Below are 27555 nucleotides of genomic sequence, written 5' to 3'. Positions count from 1 at the left end.
AGCAATGAAGGAGGCCCCAGCACAAAGCCATCCACAAAACAGATTGGGAGAAGTTTCTGTTACTTTTTCTGTTTCTCTCTGTGTGTCTCTCTCTCTCTCTCTCTCTCTCTCTCTCTCTCTCTCTCTCTCTTTCTCTCGGCTTCTGAATCTGAGATGCCCACTCCATCAGGGAGGCCTGGTGTAGATGATAAGGATGTTTACAAAAGCAGCAGGCAGGAGGTGGCACCGAGGGTACATGTCAGGCTGCCTGTCCTTTGAAGGTGCTCTCGGAGGAGGAGGGACTCTTGGTGGTGCTGGGAGTGCTCTGGAGCTCCTGTGCTACTCAGATGTCTCAGCTTTAATCTCTGGAGATTGCTGTGGTTCACATGCCAGTCAGATGCTGAGTTGATCCTTATTCTATCTGAATGCTGTAGCTCCAGGGTGGGGCTCACCCCCATGGCCTCTGTCTGTGGGAGGCCAGGACAGAGTTGTTCATCCAGTCAAGCAGTGGGACTAGATAGGCCTAGAAACCAGCTCCCCCACTGCAGCAGACACAGACGTGGCCCAGGCCCAGGCACCCCAATATGGGGAACGGCCTTTCCTGAAGTTGGATGGGCATGCCTTTGGTGAAAGCAGTTTTGGGTTTTGATTTGTGGACACCTGGGAACGTGGGGTGGTGCTTGGCTGGCAGCAGCTGCTGCAGCCTCGCCGAAGGCATCTGCCTGGGGCCCTTGCTGAGCTGACACCACAGGTATGGAATGTCTCCCCTGCCAGTGTGCCGGCCACCATGAAAGCATAAGGAATTTCCAGAGGAAGCACAGTGGTGGGGTGTGTGGTTGGACTGTCTGCCCTGCACTGACAGTGCCTTCTGTGCCTGAACTTCACACATGGTCTCTCCATGCAGGAAGGATGTGCCCGTGGAACAGGTGACACACGCAGACAGAGAGCAAACCAAGAAGGTGGTGTACGCGGTGGTCTATGGAGCAGGTAGGCTGCGGGCCGGGAGCTGGGGTCTCGGGGTTACCTGTAAGCTGGCAGCTGTGTGCCTGTGTTTAAATGTGGCTGTGCCTCAGAAATCGTCTGTGAGTCCCTGGGTGTTGTTTATGCTCTGATGACACCTGCAGTCACCAGACACTGGCCAGACCACCCCATGCCTTGACCTGCTCAGAGTCACATCCAGCCTCTCAGGGGAGGCCGCGGAGCTGGGCAGGTCAAGTGTGACCAAGCCGTTGGCTCCACCCCTACACCATACCACTGTGCTAGGCACCACTGCTGTGCTTGGAGACCTTCGAGGAGACCCTCGTCCACACACATGCCAAGGCATTATAAAGTTAGATAGCCTCAAGGTGTGCAGCGCTTGGACTCATTGCCACATCTCAACATGCACCCCATCTCCCTAGGGCAGAGCTCACCCAGCTGGGCCATGCAGCCAAAGCACCCCAGAGAGGGCAGAGCCAGGCCTTGGGCTGGGAGCAGAGCAGTAGGGGTCCAATCTCAGGGGTAGCAGATAGGAGAAAGCGGGGCTAGGCCAGGAAGGACTGAAGGCCAGAGGTTTGGGCTGCCTGGGGCCTCTTCTGCAAGCCTCTCCCTCCCCTCCCCTTTTTGCTTCCCTTCCTGTTTCTGCTCCTCTCCCTCCTTCCCCCTACCCCCTAGCCCCAATACCCATGTCAGAGCAGGCCTTCTACTCTCTTCCACTCACCCTTCTTCTACTCTCCCTTGGACTCCCTGACATGGGCTGTCTGGGATTTTTTAATTCTTTTCTGGCCCTGGGTCATGCTGAATCAGCATGGCCTAGTTTCCCCAGCCAGCCAGCTCCTTCTTAAGCCTGTTCAGACCTCCTTTTCCCTGTGATCAGTTCTTCTTTGGGTAGCAGGGCTTGTGCAAAGACCCTGAAAAGAAGATTCACCATCCTGCCATGGAAACCCTTTGTTTATTCACAGAAAGGCAGCAAAACCAAACAAGCTTCAGTGGAAGAATAACGGGGCAAGCACATAGTAGATTGTCCCTAAGAGCTGCCCTACAGTCTCCATTGAGAATGTGGTGCCGTTGAACAAGCGTCCAGAGTGCCCCGCCCCAAAACTGTGGATGGATAGCTTGTCTAGAACCACAGCCAATCAGCCAGGCCAGCTCCAACCTCAGAGCTTTGCACTACTCTTCCCTCTATGGGAACACCTGCCCCTGTACCACCAGAACCCATCCCTCACTTCTGCAGACCTGTGCTCAACTCTCCCCTGTGCAACCTTCCTCAACCACAGTATTTGTTACCCATTTCTTAGGTAACAAATTGCCACAAATGTAGTAACTTAAAATAATACACACTATCTCACAGTTTCTCTGGGTGTGGGCATGCCATAGCTGGGTCCCCTGCAGGGGCTGCAGTCAGGGTGTTGGCTGGGGCTGTGATCACATCTGTGGCTTGACTGGGGAAGGATCCACTTTGTTGGCTTCTGTTTCTTTCTTTCTTTTTTTTTTTTGGAGACAGAACCTTGCTCTATCCCCCAGGCTGGAATGCAGTGGCACAATCTCGGCTCACTGCATTGAGCACAAAATTGGCTCAACCTCCAACTCCTGGGCTCAAGCCTCCTGCCTCAGCCTCCTGAGTAGCTGGGGTGACAGGCACCTGCCACCACATTCGGCTAATTTTTGTATTTTTAGTAGAGATGGGGTTTCACCATGTTGGCCAGGCTGGTCTTGAACTCCTGACCTCAAGTGATCTGCCCATCTTGGCCTCCCAAAGTGCTGGGATTACAGGCATGAGCCACCGCACCTGGCTGGCTTCTGTTTCTTGCTGGCTGTCAGCCGGAGGTGGTCTCAGCTCCTTGCCACATGGGCCTCACACCTTGGGCACCCACTCGCCTGTTCATGGTCTCATGCCCCAGCTCAAACATGAGTACCTCAAAGATAGGAGCTCATCACGTTAGCTCACTGCCTGGCACAGAGAAGACACAGGAACAAATTAGTGGACTTGGTGGTCTCAGCTCCACTTTTGAAAACATTTTGATTGTATACATGGTTTTTGGAAAATAGACTAAGAAACTTTGTTTTAAAGAACTAGGTTCTGTGAGTGACAGTAGTGTGACATTGGATTGATTCTCCTCAGAGTTGCTTGGTCCACTGCCTCCTCTCAGCCTCTTCTGTGCTGCACCCCTGAACCTCCCTGGGGCCTCTGTCTTGGGGGAAGGCATCACTCTGCCAAATTATATGAGAGTTTGTTGCCTTGCATCCTGCTGCATCTTGTGTTGCAAACATAACATTTGCTTCTGCTCTGCCGGCAGGACATCACCTCCCCAGTCCTGGGCCCGGCAGCCTGGGCTTGATCCCCAACCCTATCAGCTCCTGACTGTGTGGCCTTGTGCAAGGCCCTCCGCCTCCCTGTGCCATCTCCTCCTGGGAAAATGCTCTCATAGGGTGCATGGGGCCATACCTGGCACACAGTCAGCTCTCATCTCTGTCATCTGCCGTTACGTCTGAGTCCTACTTCACTTCTGTGCCATGTCAGTAAATGCCTCCAAGTGACTGAGCAGCTTCTGTAGGTCTCCTGTGGCAGCCCCGGCCTTGTCCCCAGTGGGGGCAGCCACCCCAAATCCAGCTAGGAGGGAGGGATGGAGAATGAGAGTGCCGAGCACCTGCCGTGGGGCAGCTGTCCTCCAGCAGGATGGATGCCCCCACCTACCCAGAAAAAGGTGGTCTTCTCTGCCACCCGTTTGGCTCCTTCTGGAGTATTCACTTTTTTTTTTTTTCTGGAGAGGAAAAGAGCTACATTTTGTAAATAAGCACTGAGTCATTAGCCATAATGTTGAAAAGGGTAATTTGGCTGCTTTTAGCTGTGACAGTGACAAGGGTTCCCACCCTGAGCCTCCGGCTCTGCTGTTCCCATTGTTCCGGTCTGGCTTGACAGCTGGAATTACTGTGTATCCACTGCTGTGGGCTTAGGCTGGTCTCTGTTCTCCTTGTGTTTGAAACTTTGTCACATGAGCTGGGACTGAGGAAGCCAGTCAACTTGCCAGGCCTCCCAGGCTGCTGGGGCGCTTTGGAAACTCCATAGAGGAGCTTTGCACCTACCAGCTTTCAGCGGATTGTAGTGACGTGTTTTCACATAACATACCTCTGAACGGCCCACAAATGCTGAGGGCATGGGGCAAGGCATGATTCCTACACATTCTTGAGAAATCGGTGACATGACTATTGTGAAGACTGTGATGAATACAGCAGAGGAAGCAGCAGGACTTTGTGAGAGGCAGGGGAGATGCCCCAGAAGGTGCAGGGTCTGTGTGCTCAGTCCCCGCAGCCACCGTGGGGGAGCTGGTAGGGAACACATGGAGTAACAGAGCAGCCACTGTCTGGGAGCCTTGACCCCAGAGGCTGGCTCACAGGCTCACTGCTCCTCCATCAGTCAACTGAATTCAAATGTCCGTCCCCAGCCTGACGGCCCTGCGCACAGCTGCTGCTGAGCCCAGCAGGAACCTGCCTTCTCCTGGAAGCAGCTCTTGACTCCTCGGGTCTTGATCTGAGTGTTTATGGCTCCTAGAGTCAAATCCTTGGGTCTTCTCAGATGATTCCCTGACTCTGAAGCTTGCCTCCACATCCAGTCATCACGTGACCCACAGGCCTGTGCTGAGGGCACACCGCCTGGCTCAGTGCCTGTTCCCGAGGGGCTCGCACCTGTCAGAGGAGACACGGGAGGAGGCCTGGGCGCACAGCACTGTGCCATCAGTGCATCTGCAGGAGTCCCTGGTGCCAAGGGAGCCAGGGGAGGGACCCAGCCCAGGGAGAGTTGGGAGAGTCCAGGAGCTGGCCCAGAGCAGCAACACCCGAGCTGAGTTTTGAAAGCAGCGTAGGATTCAATGTCAGGTCTGTTCCAGCTAGACCAGCCCATGTTCCCACAGGCCCACTATGTGCAGGCACTTGCTCAGCCCTAGAGACATAAACAGGAGTGAAAGCCTGTTAGCAATATGTGTGGGGCAGAAGAGCACTCGGAGAAAAGGGAGTGAAGGGAGTGAAGACTGTCCCTGCTAAACGTCAAATTGTAGCGCGCGCACACACACACACACACACACACACACACACACACACACAGATTCACGTGTACCCACCGGATAGGGTTAGCCGTCTGTGGGAAGAGTCAAATTGTGTGTTCGTGTAGGATTTCAGAGGTATGGAGTACTTAGTGTCCCCAGCATGCAGATCTCTCAGGGCCTGTGTGTGAAACAGGATCAACGGAATCACAGTGTGGGGACAAGTTCTATGAAAAGAAGGAGCAGTCCAGCGGAAGCATGGGACAGAGAAGTCCCCACAGAGCCAAAAGCCATCCTGCTTGGGGAAGGGACAGTGGCCTTTGAGTGTGACAGTCCCACTGCTAAGGGTGTCCAAGGAGTGAGGAGCAAAGATCCAGGGCCTGGAAGGCCTCCCAGACCCTCAGGCTCCATCTCAGTCTCTCGTCCCTGCTGCTTGTGGAGCCACCACACCGTCCGCTCTCTTGTGGATGGGCTTTCTTTATGCCTGGGGACCGGGGCCACCTGCTGCCCTTCAGAGATCCCGACAGCTCCATAGAAGAAAGGAAAGGGATTCTCCCTTGGCCATAAGTATTTAGAAAGCAAGGCATGACTTCTGGTTATGGCCAAGTCGCTCCCATTGGAGCAGCCCTCACACAGGGATCAACTATAAACTGTGGAAAATGTATAAAAAGACAACTACCCAGAGGCACTGGGAAGTGACCAGAGCAACAGAAATTGGAGGTCAGCTGACACCTGGAAGAAAGGAATGGCACTGGTGAATTTCTCATTCTATAGACCCTCACCTGAAGGCAAACCTCAGTTGATGCTGTGGGGACAGAAACTCTGCTAGAACATACAATCCTACTAGCTTGAAGAACTGGAGGACAGAGTTCTGGACAACCAGAGGATCTGGAAAGTGAAATGAGAAATTCTAGAAAGAAGAGAGCCAGGAAATGAGGCCAAATTCTAGGTTTGAACTCTGCTCAGATCCTTGGCTGACCCCTAACTATGCATGAATGGGACAGACTTCAAACAACCCAGAAGCCAAGGCAAAAAGGACTGACCTGAGATTTCAGTGTTTTCCCACTACAGGGAGACAGAGTTTGATTTTAGCCAAACTAAGTGCCCCTTTAAAAATAGTACTCCTGAGCTGGCACCTTATCAGTATCTAAGCGGAGTGTTTTGGAAGGAGTTAAGGGGCTGTAGCAAACGCCCTCTCCACCGTCATGGCCCAGCATCGGAATGTTCGAGGCTGTGACTGCGATGAAGATCTTGAAGATGATGATCACCATGGCCAGTCTGTAGAGGATGATTCTTGTATTTTGCTATCAACAGCTGCTCAGTTTATTTATTCACAGCGTGACAAACCTTCCGTTGAGCCTATAGAAGAATACGATCATGAAGATCTGAAAGAATCTTTCAATTATGTTTCGAACCATCAGCTCAGTGGATTTAATCAAGCTCGTTTTTATTCATGCCTTGATCACATGAGAGAAAGTACTTGGAGATGCTGTGCCAGATGAAATATTGATTGAATCAGTTCTGAAGAACAAGTTTGATGTGCAGAAGCCTTTGTCAGAGGTTCTGGAACAAGATAGCATGTAGAATTTGAAGGACAAGAATGAGGGAAGAGTATCTACAGGAAAGATAGCAAAAGGTAAGGAGTCTTATTTTCTTCTTCTGAAGTTTCAGCTGATAATGTTCAAAGTTCTTATCCTCAGTTAGCAAATCATTTGGATTATAGTAGCAAACCCTTTGATTTTTCTAGCTCAGTAGGAAAATATGGATTATCTCATAATTCTTCAGTTCCAAGTCACTGTTTACTCCATAGGAAAAAGAAACTTGACAGACTTAAAAGTGAAAAGAAACCAGAATCATGTAGGTTAACAAAAGAACTTTCACTAGCTAACTTAATTCCTGATATGTCAAGAGATTCCTGTGAAAGTCAGCCATCAGTCAGATTGTCATCTACAGACAGTCTGGAAAGTCTGCTTTCAAAGAACCTAGATGCTGATTTGTTGAGACTTCATCCATCTGAATGTGCTTCCAAAGATGATTCTGCATTCAAAGAAATACCAGATTTAAAGTCCATAATGATAAAGAGCACAACACTGAATAATTCTTCATATATTCAAAGTAATTCACTATCTGATTTTTAAAACATTCCAGTACAGGACAGTTTAGGAAGTTCAGATAATCCTTTGTGCTTAACTAGCTTGTTGGAAAATATGACTGTTGATAATTTAAATGCTAGTAAAGAAACTGAAGTTGGAAGTGTTTCTTTAGTTGAACAAAGTGCCAAGAATTACATTTTTAAAAATGATAATTTGCAGTTTTCCCAGTGTGAAAGTCCATCCCTAACTGAACTGTTTCGGGAACACAAAGAAAACAATATAAGCCAGTGCTTTACTTTGTCTGACCTTTGTAACCAGTCATCTGTCAGTTTCACAGATCTAAGTTTGGGATCCTTTCCCCTGTCACAATTAGCAAATCACTGTCAGTCTTCACCAGGAATATCAGAATTAACAGGATCTATGTTGTCATTGGCATTTCCTAAAGCTTCTCCCACAAGAGACCTTGAGAATTTGTCACTTTCTGAATTGATTGCAGAAACAATTGATGTATACAACTCTCAGATTAAGAAAGAGTCCTTTGAGGTCAGTTTATCTGAAGTGAGGTCTCCTGGAATAGATTCAAATATTGATCTTAGGGTCCTTATAAAAAAAACCCAGATTTTCTTCCAAAGCCTATAGTAGACCAATCCATTGCTCCTTCATCACGAACTAAAGTTCTAAGTTCAAAGCTAGGGAAGAAATCCAATTTTGCTAAGGATAATGAGAAAAACAATAAAGGCTGTCTGACTAGGAAACCACCTTTTTCTCTGTCTCGGACCAAGGCCGTTGCTGCTAGACCTTCAGCTTTTGCCTCAACACTGTGTCTTCGTTACCCACTAAAAAGCTGCAAGCGACGCACCCTTGACCTCTGTAAGACTTTTCTTTATAGTAGACAAGTTCAAGATGTAAAGGACAAAGAAATAAGTCCTCTTGTAGCGATAATACCATTTGACTTCAAATCAGCATCACCTGATGACATTGTAAAAGCTAATAAAAAAAAAGCATTTACTAGAGAATAGTAACAAAAGAAAACTTGATGGCTGTTGTACAGCTTTTTATTTTTAATTAAAGTCTTAGAGGATCACTTTATATTATGGGATTCAAATTGTGATTTTCATGAAAATTGTTGTAGATCAGTTGATTAGCTAATGCGTATTTTTGCACTGAATTTTTTTTAAACTATGTCTTCTTTCAGTGATAACAGGCTTTATTTAAGTTGGTAACCTATACTGAGTATATGTTTACAAAGTGGATATGGAAACTGGATGTTGTGAAATCAGACCTCAGATATTTTTGTTTGAAGCATTCAACTTTCTATGTTTTTTATGATGAAATATTTTTTTCTATGAGATATTTTTGTGCTTTGTTCATAAACGAAAATGCCAGCACTTGGAATTATTATAGTTTAGTGTGAAGATTATTCTTATGTGGCACAGCATAGTTGAGACATTATGTTTTAAAATACGATATAATTCCTAGTTTCATTATTTTTCTGTAGATAAATACTAAAATTTTTCTATTAGAAAATCTTAAAATTCCTGACCTTTGAGAGTACTGTGGAGATTGTTGAAATACATTTTTAATGATAATAAAATGAAAATCTTTTAAGGGACCATGTAAATATAGAAGTTGGATTTATATGTGAATTATTTTTATACATTTTTAAAAACCATTTGTCCTAAATAAACACTTCAAAATAAATATATAAAAAGTGTAAACAAAAAATTAGTACTCCTTAACCAGGCACAGTGGGCATACATCTGTAGCTACTCAGAAGGCTGAGGCAGGAGGATTGCTTGAGCCCAGGAATTGAAAGCTGCAGTGAGCTATGATCATACCATTGCCCTCCAGCCTGGGTAACACAGCAAGACACTGTCTCAAAAGGAAAAAAAAAATAGCACCCCTTAGAAGAATATAATAGGATCTAAAACTCTACGTATATCATGCATGATATCCAATATATAACCCCAAATTCCTAAACAGGAAGAAACAGAATAGCTTAACCATACTCAAGAGAGAAGGCAATCATGGAAACAGATCCTGAGATGACCCAGATGTTGGAATTAACAGACAAGGATTTTAAAGTTTCTATTAATTACTAAGCTCAAGGAAGTAAAAGAAAATATGCTCTTAATAAATGAAAAAAAGAAAACTTCAAGAAATAAAATTCTAAAATGGAATTTCTAGAACTGAAAACTATATATCCAAAATAAAAAATTCACCAGATGGGCTTAACAGCAGATTGGAGGTGAGAAAAGACTTGTCTAAGAAGATACTCAAAGAAAGTCCCATCTGGCCAGCCTTGTGTATCTGGCCACCATCTGATTTCTTTCTGAGAGCCAATGGAATTTTCCATTGCAGTGCCATAGCTGAGGCACTAGGTGAGGATGGTGGTTGGAATTTGACAGAAAGAAAGAGTCATAGATGAATTATTTCAGCAAAGTGTAGCAAAACACATAACTTATTTGTGAATATATCACAATAATAGATCTTAAGCCCTAAGAGAGATATTGGAGATTTTTCATTTCCAGCCAAATGGTGCCAGTTCATCAGGCAGTCCTGGGCATAGAAGGACTATGACTTTATCCCTTTCTGCCGGGATAAACTTTGGGAGAACAGGGCACCCTAGACCTTCCCACTCTTGCTGACAAAGCAATGGAAGCAAACACCTGCCTTTTCACTCTCCTAAGACTTGAATATTCTCTCTGTCCAGAGCTGCTACACCATCAGCTGGCCAGGGCCAGGAGTGGCCTGGCTGAAAGGAGGGCTGGATCAGAGAGACTGGTCGGTCCCATTCCTCCAGAGGGTTCTTCCCTGGTCTTCACAGACCCCACACCTTCACCCCCTGGGCCATGCTTCTGCACCATCCTGTCCAAAGGTCCCTGGAGCACCCTCTAGTACAACCCTAGAGTTTACCTATCACAGAGGACAGCCAAGACCACTGCTGGTCCCGGCCATGCTCCCCCAGGAAGGCAGGTCCTCAGGCTGCTTGTCTCTCTGGGGTTCCTTCCAAGGATACAGCACTCCCCAGGGCCAAGGCTTTCCCTAGGATCCCACTGTCGAGCAAGGGATGATGTTCTCATGGATTCCTCATTCTCTATTTACATTATTATTCTCTTCTGGAGGAAAATGGGAGGGAATGAGTGTATATTGAGCACCAAGTAGAAACCACACACTGCTTAGAACTTCCCATGCCTTAGCTCATGGGGCTCCCAGCTGAGGATAAGGGCTCTTGTTCCTAATATACAGTGAAGAAATGGGCTTTAATGTGGGTCAGGCAACATCCCCAGGGCCACACAGAACCTCCTGGTGGGACAGGGCCCAGACCCAGGCTTCTGTGGTCACTGAACCTGCTCACATGCTTGCGGAACTCAGCCACTGCCCAGCCAAAGTCCTTTTTTTCTTTTCTTGTTAATAAATAGAAACTAGGCCTTACTTTGTTGCCCAGGCTGATCTTGAACTCCTGGCCTCAAGTGATCCGTCTGCCTCAGCCTCCTAAAGTGCTGGGATTATAGACATGAGCCACCACATGCCTGGCCCCAACCAGAGACATTTCTACCAGCAGCGTCGCAAGAACACCTGCATCTTCTAGAACAAAATGTTGAACTCCTGAGCACCATTTTCTCATACTTTGACCATGGAACTTCCCCTTCCTCTTTTCCTCTGTGCCCCACTCTAACCTCCGCAGTTCTGGAATTGGATCTCCCACTGGCCGCACTGGGAGGAGGGACCATGTCTACTTCATCACCACATCACCTGAAACACCTGGCAGGCACTGAGTCAGTATCACTGAATAAATACATGTTTCACAGGCCCCAGTCCCGATTGATTGGCACCTAGCACCTGGCTTGTAAAGTCAACGCCAACTCCATCCCAACCCATCAGAAAAGACCAGTGCTGCCAGCTGGACCTGACTCACTGAGCCCATGCACACAGTCACGGCTGGTGTGAGTGAGGCTTTGACATGCGTCTCTCTGACTGACAGGGAAGGAGCGGCTGGCTGCTTGCCTTGGAGTTCCTATTCAGGAAGCTGCCCAGTTTTTGGAGAGTTTTTTGCAGAAGTACAAGAAAATCAAGGACTTCGCCCGAGCAGCTATTGCCCAGTGTCACCAGACAGGTGAGTTGGCCACAACCAGAGCTCCCTGCTCCCTGCCAACCCTCTGTGGGAGGATGGGGGGACAGCTGCGTGGTTGGTGTGCAGGCGGGCCCTGGGTCCTGAGGTTGGTTTGGGGGCCTGGGTGAATCCTCAGCTCTTATTGGACAAATAAGGCTGAAGGTTCCACACGAGAAGGGACAAGAGTCTGGGCGGCTTGAAGCAACACAGTGAACAAACTTGAGTGACTAGATGGTGGATGGGCAGATAGGTAAAAACAGATACAAGCCTGCACCTGGAAAGGGAAAACATGGATTCTTATGAAAAGCACTGGAATATTTACAAATATCACCACAATCAGGTCATGAAGGAAACCCAAACAAATTTCAAAGAATATCCAATAGGACATAGTCTGTGACCACAGTGCAATGAAAAGGTGGTTTCATACATGTATGTCTGAGTATGTGTAGCCATCCTTCCACCTACCTATTTGGAAGTTGATGATACTCCTAATAATTTAGGATTAAAAAAAGAAATCCTAAGAAAATGACAAAAAATGTTAGAAATAAATTACAGTAAAAGTATCTCATCAGAAACTGGGATGTGGCTAAGCTGACGCCTCACTTAGAAGTAAAGGAATATTTTAAAGGAGTATTTTTTAAAGAAAGAGAAAGTTGTGGGCATAAATGAGTTGTGTTCTACACAAGAAATCTGGAAAAGAGCAGCAGGGAAAAAAGGAAGAAATCAGTGGGAGAGCAGAAATTAATGAAATCAACAACAAAGAGGAGGATGAATGACAGGCACAGGAATTGCACTCACAGCACTCAGCACTCACTGGGAGTGAGGAAATCAGCTGGAGAGTTGGCCTCAGCAGGACCAGCATCTTAGATGCTGCGGCCTGTTTCCTCTGGGTGCCGGCAGTGTCTGTGTGGCAGCCTCGTGGACCCTCTCCGTGAGCCTCTCCCAGTGACTCGTTGATGACTTTTCACTCTGGGGCCCATGCCCAAGCCCCGAGAGCTCCAGGCAGCCCTGCTACAGGCTCCTTGTTGGTCTCACAGCAGACGGGCAGGTGGGCAGCATCTGTGCCACAGCCCACACTAGCCCGGAAGGGGAGCCTCCACAGCGCCTGAGACACAAGCCGCTTGCTCCCGTGGAGCTTACAGTCCTTGGGGGACATGGTAAACCCACAAGCATCCAGACAAGGACAGGAAGGTGGCGTCCAGGTCTGAGAAGAACAGAGCCGCAGCAGAGGCCCCAAGGGAGCTGTGCCAGCCTCCATCTCATGGAGCTGGCGACCTGCGCAGAGACAGGGCCAGGAGGAGTGCCAGCATGGGCAGGTGGGCCAGAGAACAGGTAGGGCTGGGTAAACCCAGACCATACGTGACACTCCATGGAGAAAGAATCTGAGCTTTGTCCTTCAAAATGATTCCAGTCAAGATGTGGGAAAGAGATTTGAGATGCAGTCAAAGCCACCCCTGAGAATAGTCTAGAAGCATGCAGGCATTAACACAGTAACTGAGGAGGGGTGGAGAGAGAATGGCAGGTAAGAGATGTCAAGGAAGCATCAAAAGCTCAGGAGCCAGCTGGGATCTCAGATGCCTCTCTGGCCACCAGCCCTCAGGGGTCAGTGCTCTCCACGGGGCACTTGGCTGCCCCAGCTGGAGCAGACTCACTCTGACGCTGGCCGTCCCAAGGTCCTGGGAGAGGCCCTGCAATGTGCTCACGTCCTTCTACATTTTGTAAACATGTCAAAAACAAAGTGTTTCAGCTTAATTCGGCTAGGACTGCTGCCTCCACCGCTCTTCCTCCATCACACACCTTTCTATGCCAGGTGGCATCAGTGGGGCCACAGCCGGTTGAGCTGGCAACTCATTTAATGCGGATTTTCCTGCTGGTGTTCCTGTGGTCCCCTGCTTTCTCTGTGTGTGGTGTGCTGCTAGCCATCCTGGCACAGGAGTGGCTTCCAGGAGCATTGGTGCCATGCGAGCATCACCACAAAGGGCCAGGGCCGGAAGGCACCTCGAGTATGAACAGGAGCTGCAGGCACTGGCACTGGAAGCACTGGGTGGAGGAGAAATGAGGTTTGAAATGTATGGAGTCAGGAGACTTCTGCCTTAGGCCACAAGGGAGTCACTGGCTTCAGAGTTTGCACCCACCATGAAGAACCAGAAAACTGGGCAAAATATCTGGAGCAGCCGTTTCCAACACTAGACAGTGGGTAGCGTATTGCTCGTTTCTGAGAGAAAAGAGGCAAATGAGTTGAGTCCTAAGAACGCCCTGTGTCTGGAGGCACAGCCCACGTGTGGAGGGGGAGCCACGCAGACTGCAGAGTGGTCTGGATGAGTGGAGGAGACGTGGATCCAGACTTGGGAGGCAGATGCAGCTGGATTTTGTAAGCCAGAGTGTCAGAGAGGAGGGAGCTAGAGAGAGAGAGCCTTGTAAATCTTCAAGGAGTTCCCCCTTGTGTCTGTTTTTGAACACTAAGATACGCATACATTGAGTGAAACGCTACGGGACTAGGCACAAAAATTGCTGGGAGCAGTAATCCGGATGATTCCAGAGTTACCATGGAACTAGGAGATGTTTGAGTTCTGACCATCCAGAGCGGAGAGTCCTTGTTAGACACCTGGGACATTCAGAAGGGTCACACTTTAGAGGCAGGTCTAGACTAGCCCTAGATTACAGCTATTCCAAATCCACTCTAACAAAGCTTAGAAGCAAACCTCAAAAGGGTCAAGATGATTGGCAAGTAACTTAAGCCTGCCAAAACACCCTCAGAAGGAAGACAGCACACCCCAGCATTCAACAACATAAAATTCACAGTGCCCAGCATCCGGCCAAAAGTCACTAGACCGACAAAGCAGCAGAAGCTGAAAGGGACCAAGTCAGAGCAGAAGATCTCTCGTGTCCTCACTGCCAGTCCTTCTTAAGAATCTTGTATATTGCCTGGCATGTAGTAGGTACTCGATCCCTTGTCACTTTCATGATTATTATAGATGTGGGAAATTCTTCTCATCCTCAGTCACAAGTGGAGGATTTATTTCCCACCCACACCTAGTTAAAGCAGAAGTCCTCACTGGTCAGGAATATAGTCAGCTAACACAGTGTGTTTGTGTTCATTTTCTTTAAAAGAGCCCCCAAATTGCATACACTTCAGGCCACTCAAGATTGGATCTGCCCAGTCCAGGGTCTGGACCTGACTGAGACATCCCCCTCCTTGAGGATGTGGGCTGACCACTTTCTCCTCCATCCCACACAGTCCAGAGTTACTCCTGGGCCCAAGGCCTCCACATGGCTTTGCAAAAGCTGCCCTCCCTCGTCCTGTGTGAGATCCAGGTGCAGCTGGAAGTCAGGAGAGTACAGAGCTGAGAGTGCAGAGTGTGGCCAGGGGCAGTGGCTCCCCACTGTAATACCAGCGCTTTGGAGGCCAAGGCGGGTGGATCACCTGAGGTCAGGAGTTCAAGACCAGCCTGGCCAACTTGGTGGAACCCCATCTCTACTACAAATACAAAAAATTAGCTGGGCATCGTGGCAGGTGCTTGTAATCCCAGCTACTCAGGAGGCTGAGGCAGGAGAATTGCTTAAACCCAGAAGGAGGAGGCTGCAGTGAGCTGAGATCTCGCCACTGCACTCCAGCCTGGGTGACAGAGTCTCACTCTGTCTCAAAAAAAAAAAAAAAAAAAAAAAAAGTGCAGAGTGCCCAGCTCAGACCCTCGCTTTCCCACTGCAGGGCCCACTTGCCCCCATGATAGACCCGAAGGGCCCAGGGGAGGCTTGGAGTCTGCACTGCAGTGCGGCTGTCCCTCTGTGGCCTCTGGACCTGGCCCGAGGGAGCTGCACCTGCTGTGGTGCCTGTTTCTGTCCCTCATCTACTTTTGCTCTGTGTGACTCAGGCTGTGTGGTGTCCATCATGGGCAGAAGGAGACCCCTGCCAAGGATTCACGCTCATGACCAGCAACTCCGGGCACAAGCAGAGCGACAGGCAGTGAACTTCGTGGTGCAAGGTACCAGAAGCCTCTTACCTGTAGTTCTGTGTCCATTTGCTTCTTGGGTTTTAGCAGCCGCAGGGCTGGGTGGCACCCACCGATCACTGTTGCGGTATTTCCTGCTCATCACAAACCTCCTTGCAGGAGCTTACACTACCCATGTCCTGCCTGGCAGTTACTGTCAGGAGGCATGAGGGGACACGGTCATCTTTGTAGCTAGGATGATTGGATGATTCCCGCAAGAACTGGGCCCAGGCAGTACTGTTCCCCATATCTCTGTGGTGGGAAACTGAGGCTTCTATGGTTTAGGAGACCTGGAGCTCAGTTCCTTGGCACTTGGCCTAGGCCCTTCCATCCTCCCCATGCATGCCTGGCAGGGGTGAGGCCTCCAGGAGTAAGGCACCCAAAACCCAGGTGCCCTGCAGGAGCAAGAGGGCGGGAGGAGCAAGGACGAAGTGTCTGCCTGCAGTCATCTGTGGCCCTGGCACTCAGACAGCTCAGAGCCAGCACCTCTGTGTGGAGGTACCGTGAGAGCTGTGGCGATGGTGCAGAATGCTGAGTGCACCATGAACCGTGTGCCATGGGACCTCAAGACAGTACCACGCGCCCCATAGGCTCCGCTGCTGACCTCTGCAAGCTGGCCATGATCCATGTCTTCACTGCAGTGGCTGCTTCCCACACCTTGACGGCCAGGTCAGTGGGTGGTGGTCTCCCAGGGCTTGGATGGGAGGGTTAGTATTCTGTGGGAAGACCCCCTCGGGGCTCGTGATTCTGATGATCACCATCTCTGCTTATCGGGCCCCCGTCCCCTCCTGAGGCTCTCAGCCCATGGAAGGCCCTGGGGGCTACTCACAGCAGGCATGCAGACAACAACCAGCCATCCACCAGCGTGGGGTGCAGATGAGGCCTCTCCAGACAGAAATGCTGTCTCCCCCAGACCCCTCCTCCTCGGGGTGTCTGCACAGCACAGGGGCACCCCTTGAGGCTGCCCACCCCAGAGGCAGGCGAACCCCTCAGCCCCTTGAGCAGGACCCTGGGGACTCCAAACTGCCCCCACCCCTGCCTGTTGCTGCCACCAATGCCAGGCAGTGTGCCCCACGCCCAGCTCTGCCCCCACCCCTACCTGTTGCTGCCACCAGTGCCAGGCAGTGTGCCCCACGCCCAGCTCTGCCCCCACCCCTACCTGTTGCTGCCACCAGTGCCAGGCAGTGTGCCCCACGCCCAGCTCTGCCCCCACCCCCGAGCCCAGAGCCAACATGCAGATGTGCCTTGGTGGGGGGGGGCTCCGCCCTGGCTGCCCCCCAGGCCACAGCTCTCTCAGGCCTCTGTCCCTGCCTCAGTTATTCCCCCAGGGCACATTCCTCAAGAGTGTGGGTGGCCAGGGGACAAGCAGCCCTCGCCCAGCCACCTCCTCCTTGCCAGCCAAGGCCTGGGGGTGCTGCAAGTGGTGACCCAGACACCTCCTCTCCTCGTTCTCCTTGTGCGGGATCCCCTCAGGAGTCCCGGAGCCCCTTCTGGGAGCTAACCTGCCCCAGCCCCCCACAGTGTCAGTCCCCGAAGGGCCCCTCGCCCTCTGACACACCATGGACGTTTTCCCACCCCCACCCTAAGAGCCCTCAAGCTCTTGGCGACAGTCCCGTGGGGGTCTAAGCACTGCCCCAGGGACTCTGCTTGCAGCTTCACTGGGCTGTGGGCTCTCAGTGCTGCTTTCTGCAGTAACTGAAGTGGTCAGAAGGCAGGAGTGGGGCATTAGAAGATTCACTCTCGGCTGGGCACAGTGGCTCACGCCTGTAATCCCAGCACTTTGGGAGGCCGAGACGGGTGGATCACCTGAGGTCAGGAGTTTGAGACCAACCTGGCCAACAGGGTAAAACATCGTCACTACTAAAAATACAAAAATTAGCCAGGTGTGGTGGCGCACACCTGTAATCCCAGCTACTCAGGAGGCTGAGGCAGGAGGATCGCTTGAACCCAGGAGGTGGAGGTTGCAGTGTGCCAAGATCGCACCACTGCACTCCAGCCTGGGTGAGAGCAAGACTCTGTCTAACAGAAAAAAAAATAAGATTCACTCTCAGTCCTCTCCTGCCCCATCTCACTGCCATCTGCATTCATTCCCAACACACACGTGCACACACACGCACACACAAGCACATGCACCCATACACGTGTTCACCCATGCATACAACCCATGCACACACATATACGCATATACACTGATGCCAGGCAGCCTCTAGTGCCCCACAGTGTTCTCATGGTGTCCTGAAATCCATGCATCCCGCTCACTTCCACAGTTTCTGCAGGTAAATTATAGCTTCTCCCAGGATATGAGCAGCTTGTGCTAGTTTCCGTCTTGGCAGGAACTGAAAGCCAAATGGTGGTCCTGCCTCTAAGATACTGCAAGTCTAGAAAAGTTGATTCAAGGCTGGGCGCAGTGGCTCACACCTGTAATCCCAGCATTTGGGAGGCCGAGTCGGGTGGATCACTTGAGCTCAGAAGTTTGTGAACAACATATGTGTTGCCTGGGCAACATAATGAAACCTGTCTCTACAAAATAAAAGCTGGCCATGGTGGTGCACACCTGTAGTCCCAGCTACTCAGGAGGCTGAAGTGGGAGGATCACCTGAGCCTGGGAGTTCAAGGCTGCAGTGAGCCATGATCATACCACTGCACTCCAGCCTGGGCAACAGGGCAAGAACCTGCCTCAAAAAAAGAAAAAATCGGTTCACTTTCAGCCCTTGTGGAATTGATAAAGGAAGTTGGCATGTGAGGAGCTGAGGTCTCTCTCTGTTGCTGACTGAGTCCTTCTGAAAGCTGGACACAGACACTTTTACTCAGGAACGCAGTTACTCGCTGGTCATCCTTCTGTCATCAGCCATTGGCTGTCACGAGGAAATGCTTCTCATAGCAAAATGCAAAGCAGACTCGTGTGGAATATTGGGCACATGGTCTGTGTTTTGTGAACGTGATTTGTTCTTCCAGGAGTAATGTGAAAGGCTGTGGATGGCGTCTGGAAGGGACGGGTGCAGGCTCAGTGTGGCCAGGCATCTCTCGCTGAAGCAGCAGGCATGAAACTCGATCACTGGGAGGCACACGGTGCCCCTAGAGTGAGCTGAGATCGCACCACTTCACTCCAGCCTGGGCGAGAGCGAGAGTCTGTCTAACAAAAAAAAAAAAAAAGAAGAAGAAGATTCATCTGGCCACCCCAAGGGTCTGCCCAGGTGGGCTGGGGCCACAGGACAGTCTGCATTCACCACCCACAGTCCCTGTGACAGGGAAATGGCATTCGTTTGTGCCTCTTGGTCCAGATCCTAAAAAGACCAGAGAGGTTGGGCTCAGAGCAGGAGGCCGGTGGCCAGCGTTCACAGGCCTCTGTGCCATGGCTCGGCTGTCCTGTCTGTCTCTTCTGGTGCAGGCCCTTTATGAAAAGGCCTTCCTGGGTTTCAGAACGTGTCAGTGCTGTGACGGTCCCTCCCCTGGGCCTTCTCAAGGCGGGTCTGCATGAGGCCACCATGCGCCCACACTCAGGATGAGTCCACAGAGCAGTTCAGCAGGGCTGGGGGCATCCCTTGCAAGGGAGCTGCCCCTGCAGGCCCCAGACAGGCAACACGGTGAGGCTCTTCTGGAACATTCTCCTACTGGTGCAGTGATCTCAGTCAGGCCATCCAGATGCAGAACACAGCAGCTCTGTGGCCGACCCCTCTCAGGAACAGGGATGAGAAGTTGCACCAGAGGTCCACTCCCTTCCGGAACACAACAGGATCCAAGGCCCTGCATTCATCCACCCCACACGGAGACGACAGACGTCCTTCTTCTTTCACCTGTGCCCCATTTCCCAGTTAGAAGCGCGGTCATGTCTCAGTGGCTGCGAGAATGATGTGTGAGTGACTGACAACTGCACCTATTCTTAGGTTCCTGCCACACCAGCAGCTCAGAATTTCACAATGTAATTTCAAGAAGTGTGAAAACTGCTTCTGCTAAATCTGGAAAAAGTTACAAGTGCCTTTTCTGAGGTTTCTGCCCATTTGAAAAGTAAGTCCTCTTGGGAGACAAAGACTTCTGCCTGAGGCCTTGAAGTTAGTTGAAGACAAGCTTGCTGGTGCTGACAGCCTGGGGCTCTGTCGCCCCTCTGACTTCTGGAAGGGCAGTGCCCACGGCCCCTGGCCAGAGGCTGCACATGAAGCACAGGCCCACCTCCCCCTCCCTGGGGGCAGCCTGCTCGAGGGTGTGAGCACCAGTGTACCGCTGTCTGGGCCCACGTAGTGTCCTGTGGATGTACACCCAGGAGGGTGTGCACTTGGCCGTCAGGAACACAGGCCCAAGCTACAGCAGCTCAGACTCCAGAAGGCAGACTTTTCTCCCATCACGAGAAGTCCAGAGAACAGTGGTTGCTTTGTTTCAGAGGCTCAGAGCAGCAGGACCGAAGTCCCTCTGGCTCCCTGGCCATTCCCTCCTGGTGCTGTGATGGAGGTGGCTGCTCCAGCCCTCACACCTTGCAGGCAAAGGAGAAAGTCATAGTGGTCAGAAGAGCATCTGCCCCTGGCAGCCCTTTACAGTCAGCCGTTTAAAGAGCCTTCCCTTTTAGGACTTTCCTGGAGTCTCTTTTCCTTCCCACTCCTTACCTCCCTCCCTGCTAAGGAAAAAAAAAATAGCCTCCTTGGAAGTTGAAGGGAATGCAGTCCTGGGCCACCCTGCCTGAGAGAGAGCCTGGGAAATGTCCTTTGTAGCTGAGGACACAGCCCCACCTCCACCCCACCCAGCAACAAAGGGGCCAACATGAAGAAAGAGAGGAAGGGCGGATTGGGGCAGGTCACCGGAAATCTCTGTTGCAAAGTCCACATCCCCTGTGGAAAGTGCCAGCACAGCCCACCTGTACCCTGGGGCTTGAAGGCTGCCCCTTATCCCAGCTGGGGCTCTCCGTCACATGCCCGTGACTACTGCCCGGCAAGGACGCCCATGCAGACCAGCTCCCTAGGGCCCTGGGCCCGCTGTGCCCATCTGTGCCAGCCAAGGACGGGCAGCAGGGGCGAAGATAGGACGTGACCCCTGCCCCTGAAGACTCGATCCAGGAGACAGAGCCAAGGTCACACAGAGGACAGAGTGCGTGGGACCCCCTGACACCCCATCCTTCCCAGCAGCTCATCCTGTGAGTTACCCACGCCGCACGTCCCCTCCCGGGGGCACAAGGCGAGCTGCCTGTGTCCACCTCACAGGAGAGGCTGGCAGTAGGTCTGGGGGCAGCAGGCCTCAGCAGAGGTCTCACATCACCAAGATTTGAGGCATCATCTGCCCAAGGTGTGTGTCACCCGTTTCCAAGGAGCATGTGGAGCCGCAGCGCCCTGGCGGAATCCAGCCCCAGTGCGGTCTGTGTGGCCAGCGTGGCGCCGGCCCTTAAGAGCTGATTGCCCGGAGCCATGACCCGTCCGCCTTGTGCTTGCACTTGAATCTGTGAGCCCCACCCCAGGGACCTGCCCCTGGCAGTGCATTTCCCCTGAATCTCCTCCACTTGGGTCCCACTTGCTCTCCCTGCTGACGCCCTGGGAGGGGCACCTGAGGGGCTCCATGAAGGAGGCTGGGGAAGGGTGGGGCTTGGCTGGGGCCTGGCTGGGGCTGGCTGGATGCTCACCAGAGCGAGGTCTCGGAGAAGCCCTGAGGGCACAAGAACCCATGATGTTGTTCGAGGCTCGGCCCATGTCAGGGCCCCCACAACAGTTCACAAGGGGCTGTTTTTCCATCCCTGCCCAGACTTCAGACGGGACCAACCTGGGTGGGGCGGACACGGGGCACCCAGCCCCTCCTGCTGGTTGTGCCACCTGCTTCCTCGCAGCTAACCAGTCACTTCCAACCAGCCTGTCTCCCTATTGCCCCTTCTCCCAGCTCCCCAGAGCTGTCCTGGTGACAGTGGGTGACCTCAAGCAGTGGTGCCCATGCCTCACGGAGCCACATCCTCTTGGGCCTCAGTGCCAGAACCACCTTTCAGAAACCTTGGGGATGGGCCCCCACCTCTGCATGCACCCCTGAGCCCCCGCCTCACAGTCCTGGCCTCCCAGGTTGACTCCCTCCCTCCCTGCCAGGCTGGTGGCCCACGCCCCACAGTCCTGGCCTCCCAGGGTGACTCCTTCCCTCCCTGCCAGGCTGGTGGCCCAGATCCATGATGAGCTGCTGTTTGAAGTGGAAGATCCGCAGATCCCGGAGTGTGCAGGTAGCCTGGGGCAACACAGGGTTGCTTGGACATCACAGACAGCTAAGAGGAGGCTCCATGCCCCATGGGCACAGCCCAGGAAAGCCCCTCAGCTGTCTTCCCTTTTATGGCCCCTGCCCCACCTCATTGCTGCTGTGTCACCTGGGTCCTGGCAGGCAGAGGGGCCAGCCTGGGTTTGGGGACCCTTGAAAGGCCCAAGTGGGCTCCACCCTGGGCCACCAGCCCCTCAGAGAGCGCCAGGTATTCTAGCTGACTGGAACTGCAGACAGCAGCTGCAGACACCCAAGGCTGCTTTGTCTGAGGCCCAAGGCCTCTATGTCTTGGGGGTCTAGAAAGATGGGGAGTGGGCATTGGGGCCACCTGGGCTGATTGGGGGCTGCGGAGCTGGCAGCAGGTGTTCTTGTTGGGGGTGTTGGAGTCACTGAGGCCCCCTAGGCTCAGCACAGACTTCAGGCCTGGGTGCCCTCCTGTCCCACAGGCCACCCCTCTCTGCTGAGCTACACGGCCCATAGATGAGTTAGCTCAGGCAGAATCACCCCAGCGGTCAGCCCAAGGGGTTCTTTCTCTCTCCCTTGGGAGGGCCGGGGCCTCCCCACAGCACCCAGCCACTGGTCCCATTCTGGCCTCACAGGGGAGAGGCGAGAGCAGGTGCCCACGTGGACCTGTGCCCCCAGTTCTCCAGGCCAGGTCTGTAAACAGCCGGGGCAGCTTCACGTGTTGGGAGAAGAGGCACGGGGGCGTCAGGGCTGGAAGCTTCAGGCACCAACTCTCGAGTGGTGGTCGCCATGCCCTCCTAGCCCCACCCTCTCCAGGCCTTACCCTTAGGGGTGTGAGGCTCCCATCCCTGGGGCCCACCCAGACCACTCCATCCTAAAGCAGGGCTCTGCCACTTGAAAAGTATGTCCAGCCACTCATTTGAAAACACACCCACCTTACGTGACCATTTAACAAGTATAACGTGTGCTCAGCTGTAGGTTAAAAAAGGAAAGAAAACGTTCCCAAACGGCCTTGTTCCCGGGAGCAGCTTCCTCCAGCTGGCCTGGCAGCTCCTGAGGCAGGCTGCAGCCTGTGCTCTGCTCTCTCAGGAGCACTCGGGGCCAGGGACTGCAGGGCCTGGGGAACCAGGGGTCGGGCGGGGCCTGCACCATCCCTGAAGGGCTGGGGGTCAGGTCATATCTCCCAGGCGGTGTGTAGCGCCCAGCATCTCTGCCCTGCCTGCCCTCCCGAGGGCCCCACAGGGAGCGCTCCAGCTGAGTGCCAGCTCAGCCCCACGCTTGCTGCCCCTCTCTGAGCAGCAGTTGCTTGGGATCACCCGCTCAGTCAACAGCACCACCCCACCAGGCACAGAAGAGGGACCAGTTCTCTGCATACTCAGGGTAGCCCCAGCCAGCATGAGGAGCCAATGGTCCAGCTTGGCCTGGGCCGGCTCTCCAGCCTCGCCCCCATAAGAAGGTCCCCAGGGGGGCCCAGGTCCTTCTGCAGGGCTCCCCACCATGCACATGGGCCGTGTGCCCACCTGCTGGCCGACAGCTCCCTGCAGACGGTGACCGGCTCCTGCACAGAAGACATTGAGGGCCACAGAGCTTGGGTGGCCGCTGGCCCTGCTCAGGACACACCAGGGACAGGTCCCCAGGGAGACCCTCGCTCTGCTGGGGCCAGCAGGGCTGGAAAGTGAGGTGGCGCCCACCACGGCTTGGGGCTCCTGCCGCCATCTTTGCATTGCAGTGTCACACAGCACAAAAGGACTGAACGAATGTTTATCCAGGGGCTCCAGGTTTCAGAGCAAGCCCTGAGAAAGCCTGAGCTTGCGGGTCCCACCTCTGGCCCCTGCCCAGGCCTTCCCTTTCGTAGGGCTCTGAGCCCCACTGCTGCATGGTGATCCACGCCCCAACAACGGGGTCAGCCTGCCTGTGGCACAAAGCCACTGTTGCCTCAAACTTCACCGGGCAGTAGTGGGGATGGGGGGTTCTTGTGTGCCTGGTGGCTCTGGCTGGTGGGGGCTCCCTGTGCCTCCCCCATCCTCCCAGCCCCAGTGGCTCTGGAACAGAGCTGGCATGACGCCTGCCCCACCCCATGGCCCCCAGCTGGGGTGAGCTGAGCCGGAGGGGTAGGGGTGAGGGCCAGTGCAGTGTGGTGGGCCAGGCCAGGAGGAGGGGCTGCAGCGAGGGCCAAGGGGCCTGCGAGAGGCATCCTGGACTGTGGATGGGGCCGGGGGAGCTGGACTCAGCCTCAGGGGCTGGGCACTCAGGGGCTCCTTGTGGGCATTAAGGTCCCACAGCTGGTTCAGGTGACCGAGTGGACACAGGAAACAAGGGGGCTCAGGGGCCGGGGCAGGACTCGGGCCTGAAAGTTCTCTTATCTTCGGCTCCCAGGCCCCAAGGCCAAGAGACCAGCAGGGCCTCCTCTCTCTTCCGCACTCTAGCTCTCGTCAGGAGGACCATGGAGTCCTTGGAACAGGTGCAGGCATTGGAGCTGCAGCTTCAGGTGAGGGGACACTTAAGCCTGCCCGGTCTTCCGGAGCCCAGGGTGAGGGGAGGCCAGCACCCCCAGGGCAAAAGAGCCAGGCCAAAGGGTGCAGCCCCAGCCCCGAGATGGCCACTCCACAGCAGGCACAGCCGTGGAGGCTGGACCGTCCCTGAAGCCCGGGAAGCCCCACCCGACTCTGCTCACTTCAGTGAACAGGGACGGCAGCCGGGGCTGGACCCCTCCCTCCCTGTCAAGAGCTGTGAAGGCTTGGTCCACTCAAGGTCAGGGACCCCCGGGAGGGCTCTCCTGGCCTCTAGGAGCCACCAATCCTCCCGGGGGCAGGACCCTGAGGGGCAAGCACAGGATGCCCCAGGACACACCCACCCATCCAAGGGCACCTTGTCTGCCGGCCGCAGCCTACCCACTGGCACAGAGGCCCTGGCAGGTGGGGGAACCTCCGCCAAGATCGAGGTGTCGTGACTGGGAGGTGGATGTGGCATAAGCCTGTTGCTGGGCGAGTGTGGTGAGTGTGCACGTGTATGCACATGTGTGCGTGTGGCTGTCTGATCATGTATCTGGATGTGTGCACCTGTGTGCTGTAGGCCCTGTCCCCCTGCTTGGGGTCTGGGAGGTGGCTGGGGGTGGCTGGCCCAGGCGTGGGGCTCACCTCTGGCTGCCACCTGCAGGTACCCCTCAAGGTGAGCCTGAGTGCCGGCCGCTCATGGGGACACCTGGTGCCACTGCAGGAGGCCTGGGGCCCTCCGCCAGGCCCATGTCGCACTGAGTCTCCCAGCAACAGCCTGGCTGCCCCTGGGTCCCCTGCCAGCACCCAGCCCCCACCCCTGCATTTTTCGCCTTCATTTTGTCTGTAGCCCCAGGCAACAGTGGGAGGAGAGAACTGGTTTCCAGCAGTCCATTGTGTGGCCTTCCCCAAGGTCACCAGCTCTGTACGCCCCAGGACGCATTAACCCTTTGGGGCTGGGGTGGCCCGCCATCCCCTGGAGTAAATGCCTGTGCAAAGCCCTCCTCATCCTTGTCTGAGTGAATTCTTCCTGTGAGTGGGAAGTGCCGCGTCCACCACCCCCAGCCACTTGGCCGGGGCAGGGCTGAGTGCCCCCAGTTGGGAGTGACCCAGGCTGGGTCTGGGCCAGACACTCCAGACTGGGTAGGCACTCCCAGCTCCCTCTCCCATGGATTCCAGGGGAGGGGGCTGCCTCGTGGCTCAGCAGCTGCTCCCCCCGGCAGGTGTCCAAGAAGCCACCAGCTCTGACGCCCTATGGTGTCACCCCCTGCTGGCTCCCTTCGCTTTAGGAAGCCATGGCCCAGGGCGTGCACCGTCCTCCCAGGCCAGCCCAGCGTGCAGCCCTGTACTGAGATGGAGAGAACACAGCCTCCCCGCAGGCACTGAGGCCCCTAGAGCTTGTGTTCCCGACTGATGTGTCAGGAGGACCAGAGGAGCCCCTCTATGAGAAGACCTGGCCACCCACTGCAGGCCTCCCCCATGGATGCAGCCTAGGGGCCACCGAGGACCCGCGGGCGTCTGGGGTCACATGCTCTCAGGCCACAAGGTCTCTCCCATGAGCCTCCTGCAGGCTAGTGACCAGTGGCTGCAAACAGGCTGGCTCCTGAGACAGCCAGTGCTCCAAGCAGCTCCTCCAGACTCTTCCCGTCCCACGTGCCCCTCTGCCTTCCCTCATGCACAGTGGCCTCACTGCCAGCCCAGCAGGACACCTGTGACTCACCTCCACCTCACAGCAGGCTGCGACAGAGGCACCAACACGATCCCCTCTTTGCACGTGGGGAAACTGAGGCACCAAAAGGTCACAGGGCTCAAAAGTGCGCCAGCCAGGATTTCAGCCGCATCCTCACCCTGTACCATGGTTCCCTGTCTCTGTGGTGGCCCCTGGAAATGTGCTCCCGGGGTCCTGCTTTCAGGCCACCCCCCCCCCCCCGGGTATCTCAGCCCCTCCCATGTACTTCCTTACCCAGGTCTGGGTCTGGGCTCCAAGAGCATCCCTTGAAGTGGGGCACAGGGCCCCCTGTACCCTTCAGGGATGTCACCTCCGGCTGCCACCCACAGAGCGGCCAGCACTCAGGCTCACCATCAAGGTGCTGGCTCCTCGTGGGGACACCTGGTGCCACTGCAGGAGGCCGGCCAGGGGTGAGTATATGGGGTGCAGATGGTGCTGTGGGTTTGAGCAGTGGCCTTCCCCACCACCACCGTGTGTACCACCCTGCCCTCTTTCAAGTGGCGGCTGTGTCACCCACGCGGCTTGCCTGTGCCCACTGAACATGGGTCATCTTTTCTGGGTGACCTGGGTCATCACAATGAATTGGTCAGGACCTCGCTGCTGTGGTCTGCGGGTGCTGGAAGTCCGTTCCTTCTTCCCTTCAATTACGCAGCATTTGCCTGACAGCGTGTGCGGTGCTGGGGAGGCAGGGACAGCTGAGTCCAGATCACAGTCCTGCTGCTATGCCACACCAGCCTCGCCCCTCTTGGTGCTTCCTGCCCCCTGGGGGAGCCAGGTGCCCATCCTGTGGCTCAAGGAAGCATTTGGTTTCTCCCCAGGAAGAGAACACCCACTCTGGCCGAGACAGCCTGATTTTCTCCTGGCTTCAAAAACATTTTCACCGCCTCCCATGTGTGTGGGTCCTGGGTGGCCGGGCCTGCCCCCATTGTGGTGGGACGTCCCAGTGATCCAGGGAGCTGCCCGTAGCCACTGCTGGGCCCTCCCACCAGCGCGGTGCTGCCCCTGCCTGCGTTCCCTGGGCAGCACTCTGAGCCCCAACAGGCCCGCCAGGCCTTGATGTACCCGCCGCACCCAGGCCTCCATCCTGCCGCAGTTTCAGTGGGATGTCCCACATGGGCTTTGCTGTTCGTAACCCGAGCCCAGGCCAAGGCTGCCTAGCCCTCCAGGCTGAGGGGCAGCCCTGCCCCTGCCCCTGCCCTTGGAAAGATACTCGCAGCCTGGGGTTCCTTCAGGGTCCTGGCTGGAGGGCCTGGCGGCACGGGTTGGGAGGGTGGGAAAGGCAGAAGCCGGGCCAAGGAAACCCCTACCAGGAAAGTGGCCCAGGGGACCGGCTGTGGAGCTGGGGGACCCCCAGACTCCAGGAGTTCCTCTGCCAACAAGACTGGCATCCTGACGGGGACCTGCCAGGGCAGGGGTCTGTGTCCACCCCATGTCTGTCTGTGAGACTCCCGACACCAAGCTCCCCACCCCACAGCCCTGAGCTGCAGCACCCTCGGCCTGGACCCCAGCCCTGGCATCCTCCCTCACAGACACTGGGGGTCCACCCCCATCCTGGTGGGCTCTAATGCCCGCTCACCTCACACCCTCCCTCAGCACCGCTGTTCCTCCGAGGGGCCAGGCAGGCAGGCGCCGGGGCTGCCAGGGCAAGGGTCGACATAACCACAGGAACTGGGAACCCCAGACCCAGGAGGACAGGGCAGCGGGGCCTTGTCCCACTGGGGTGGCAAAAATGGGGCGGGGGCAAGGGCTGGGGGACAAGCTGTCTGCCAGGAGTTAGAGTACCCAGGACCAAGCACAGAGCTGGGGGAGGGCAGGGCCCAGGAGCTGCTCAGGGGGATCCCAGGCCTGAGAGTGAATGGGCAAAGCCCACCCGGCTGGGTGCCTGCTGGGGGAGGGGCCTCAGCCCATGGGGCCACCAAGCCCCCCTGCCCCACCTCCTGGATTACACTCCCTCCAGGGGGCAGTGCTGGCTG

At 54.3% G+C, this 27555-nt stretch overlaps 1 protein-coding gene and 1 pseudogene across 1 annotated transcript in view, besides 4 other annotated features; both read left to right on the top strand.

Annotated features, from left to right (window-relative positions):
- The window catches only part of POLN (DNA polymerase nu), a 170204-nt gene extending 145305 nt beyond the window's left edge, over positions 1–24899 (top strand). Inside the window, exons 20-26 of the mRNA NM_181808.4 lie at positions 884–966; positions 11073–11204; positions 15074–15184; positions 15781–15859; positions 21298–21365; positions 23788–23849; positions 24518–24899. Coding sequence (NP_861524.2) covers positions 884–966; positions 11073–11204; positions 15074–15184; positions 15781–15859; positions 21298–21365; positions 23788–23849; positions 24518–24703 — 721 coding nt within the window. The 3' untranslated portion in view covers positions 24704–24899. The remainder of the gene's footprint in view (positions 1–883; positions 967–11072; positions 11205–15073; positions 15185–15780; positions 15860–21297; positions 21366–23787; positions 23850–24517) is intronic.
- Positions 3031–3531: an enhancer, noted in NCBI's record as "H3K4me1 hESC enhancer chr4:2095013-2095513 (GRCh37/hg19 assembly coordinates)". NCBI's record gives its function as "activates a minimal SCP1, AML or CMV promoter by ChIP-STARR-seq in naive H9 embryonic stem cells {active_cell/tissue: H9 hESC(naive)}" and the evidence as "EXISTENCE:reporter gene assay evidence [ECO:0000049][PMID:30033119]".
- Positions 3532–4032: an enhancer, noted in NCBI's record as "H3K4me1 hESC enhancer chr4:2094512-2095012 (GRCh37/hg19 assembly coordinates)". NCBI's record gives its function as "activates a minimal SCP1, AML or CMV promoter by ChIP-STARR-seq in naive H9 embryonic stem cells {active_cell/tissue: H9 hESC(naive)}" and the evidence as "EXISTENCE:reporter gene assay evidence [ECO:0000049][PMID:30033119]".
- Positions 6113–8702, top strand: LOC100419959 (HBS1 like translational GTPase pseudogene; annotated as a pseudogene).
- Positions 20009–20622: an enhancer, noted in NCBI's record as "H3K4me1 hESC enhancer chr4:2077922-2078535 (GRCh37/hg19 assembly coordinates)". NCBI's record gives its function as "activates a minimal SCP1, AML or CMV promoter by ChIP-STARR-seq in primed H9 embryonic stem cells {active_cell/tissue: H9 hESC(primed)}" and the evidence as "EXISTENCE:reporter gene assay evidence [ECO:0000049][PMID:30033119]".
- Positions 26480–27161: an enhancer, noted in NCBI's record as "H3K27ac-H3K4me1 hESC enhancer chr4:2071383-2072064 (GRCh37/hg19 assembly coordinates)". NCBI's record gives its function as "activates a minimal SCP1, AML or CMV promoter by ChIP-STARR-seq in naive H9 embryonic stem cells {active_cell/tissue: H9 hESC(naive)}" and the evidence as "EXISTENCE:reporter gene assay evidence [ECO:0000049][PMID:30033119]".

This window comes from Homo sapiens, chromosome 4 (assembly GCF_000001405.40).
Source record: "Homo sapiens chromosome 4, GRCh38.p14 Primary Assembly".
Classification (NCBI taxonomy): Eukaryota; Metazoa; Chordata; class Mammalia; order Primates; family Hominidae; genus Homo; species Homo sapiens.
The sequence above is the reverse complement of the archived record's forward strand: the minus strand, read 5'-3'. Positions and strand labels throughout refer to the sequence as shown.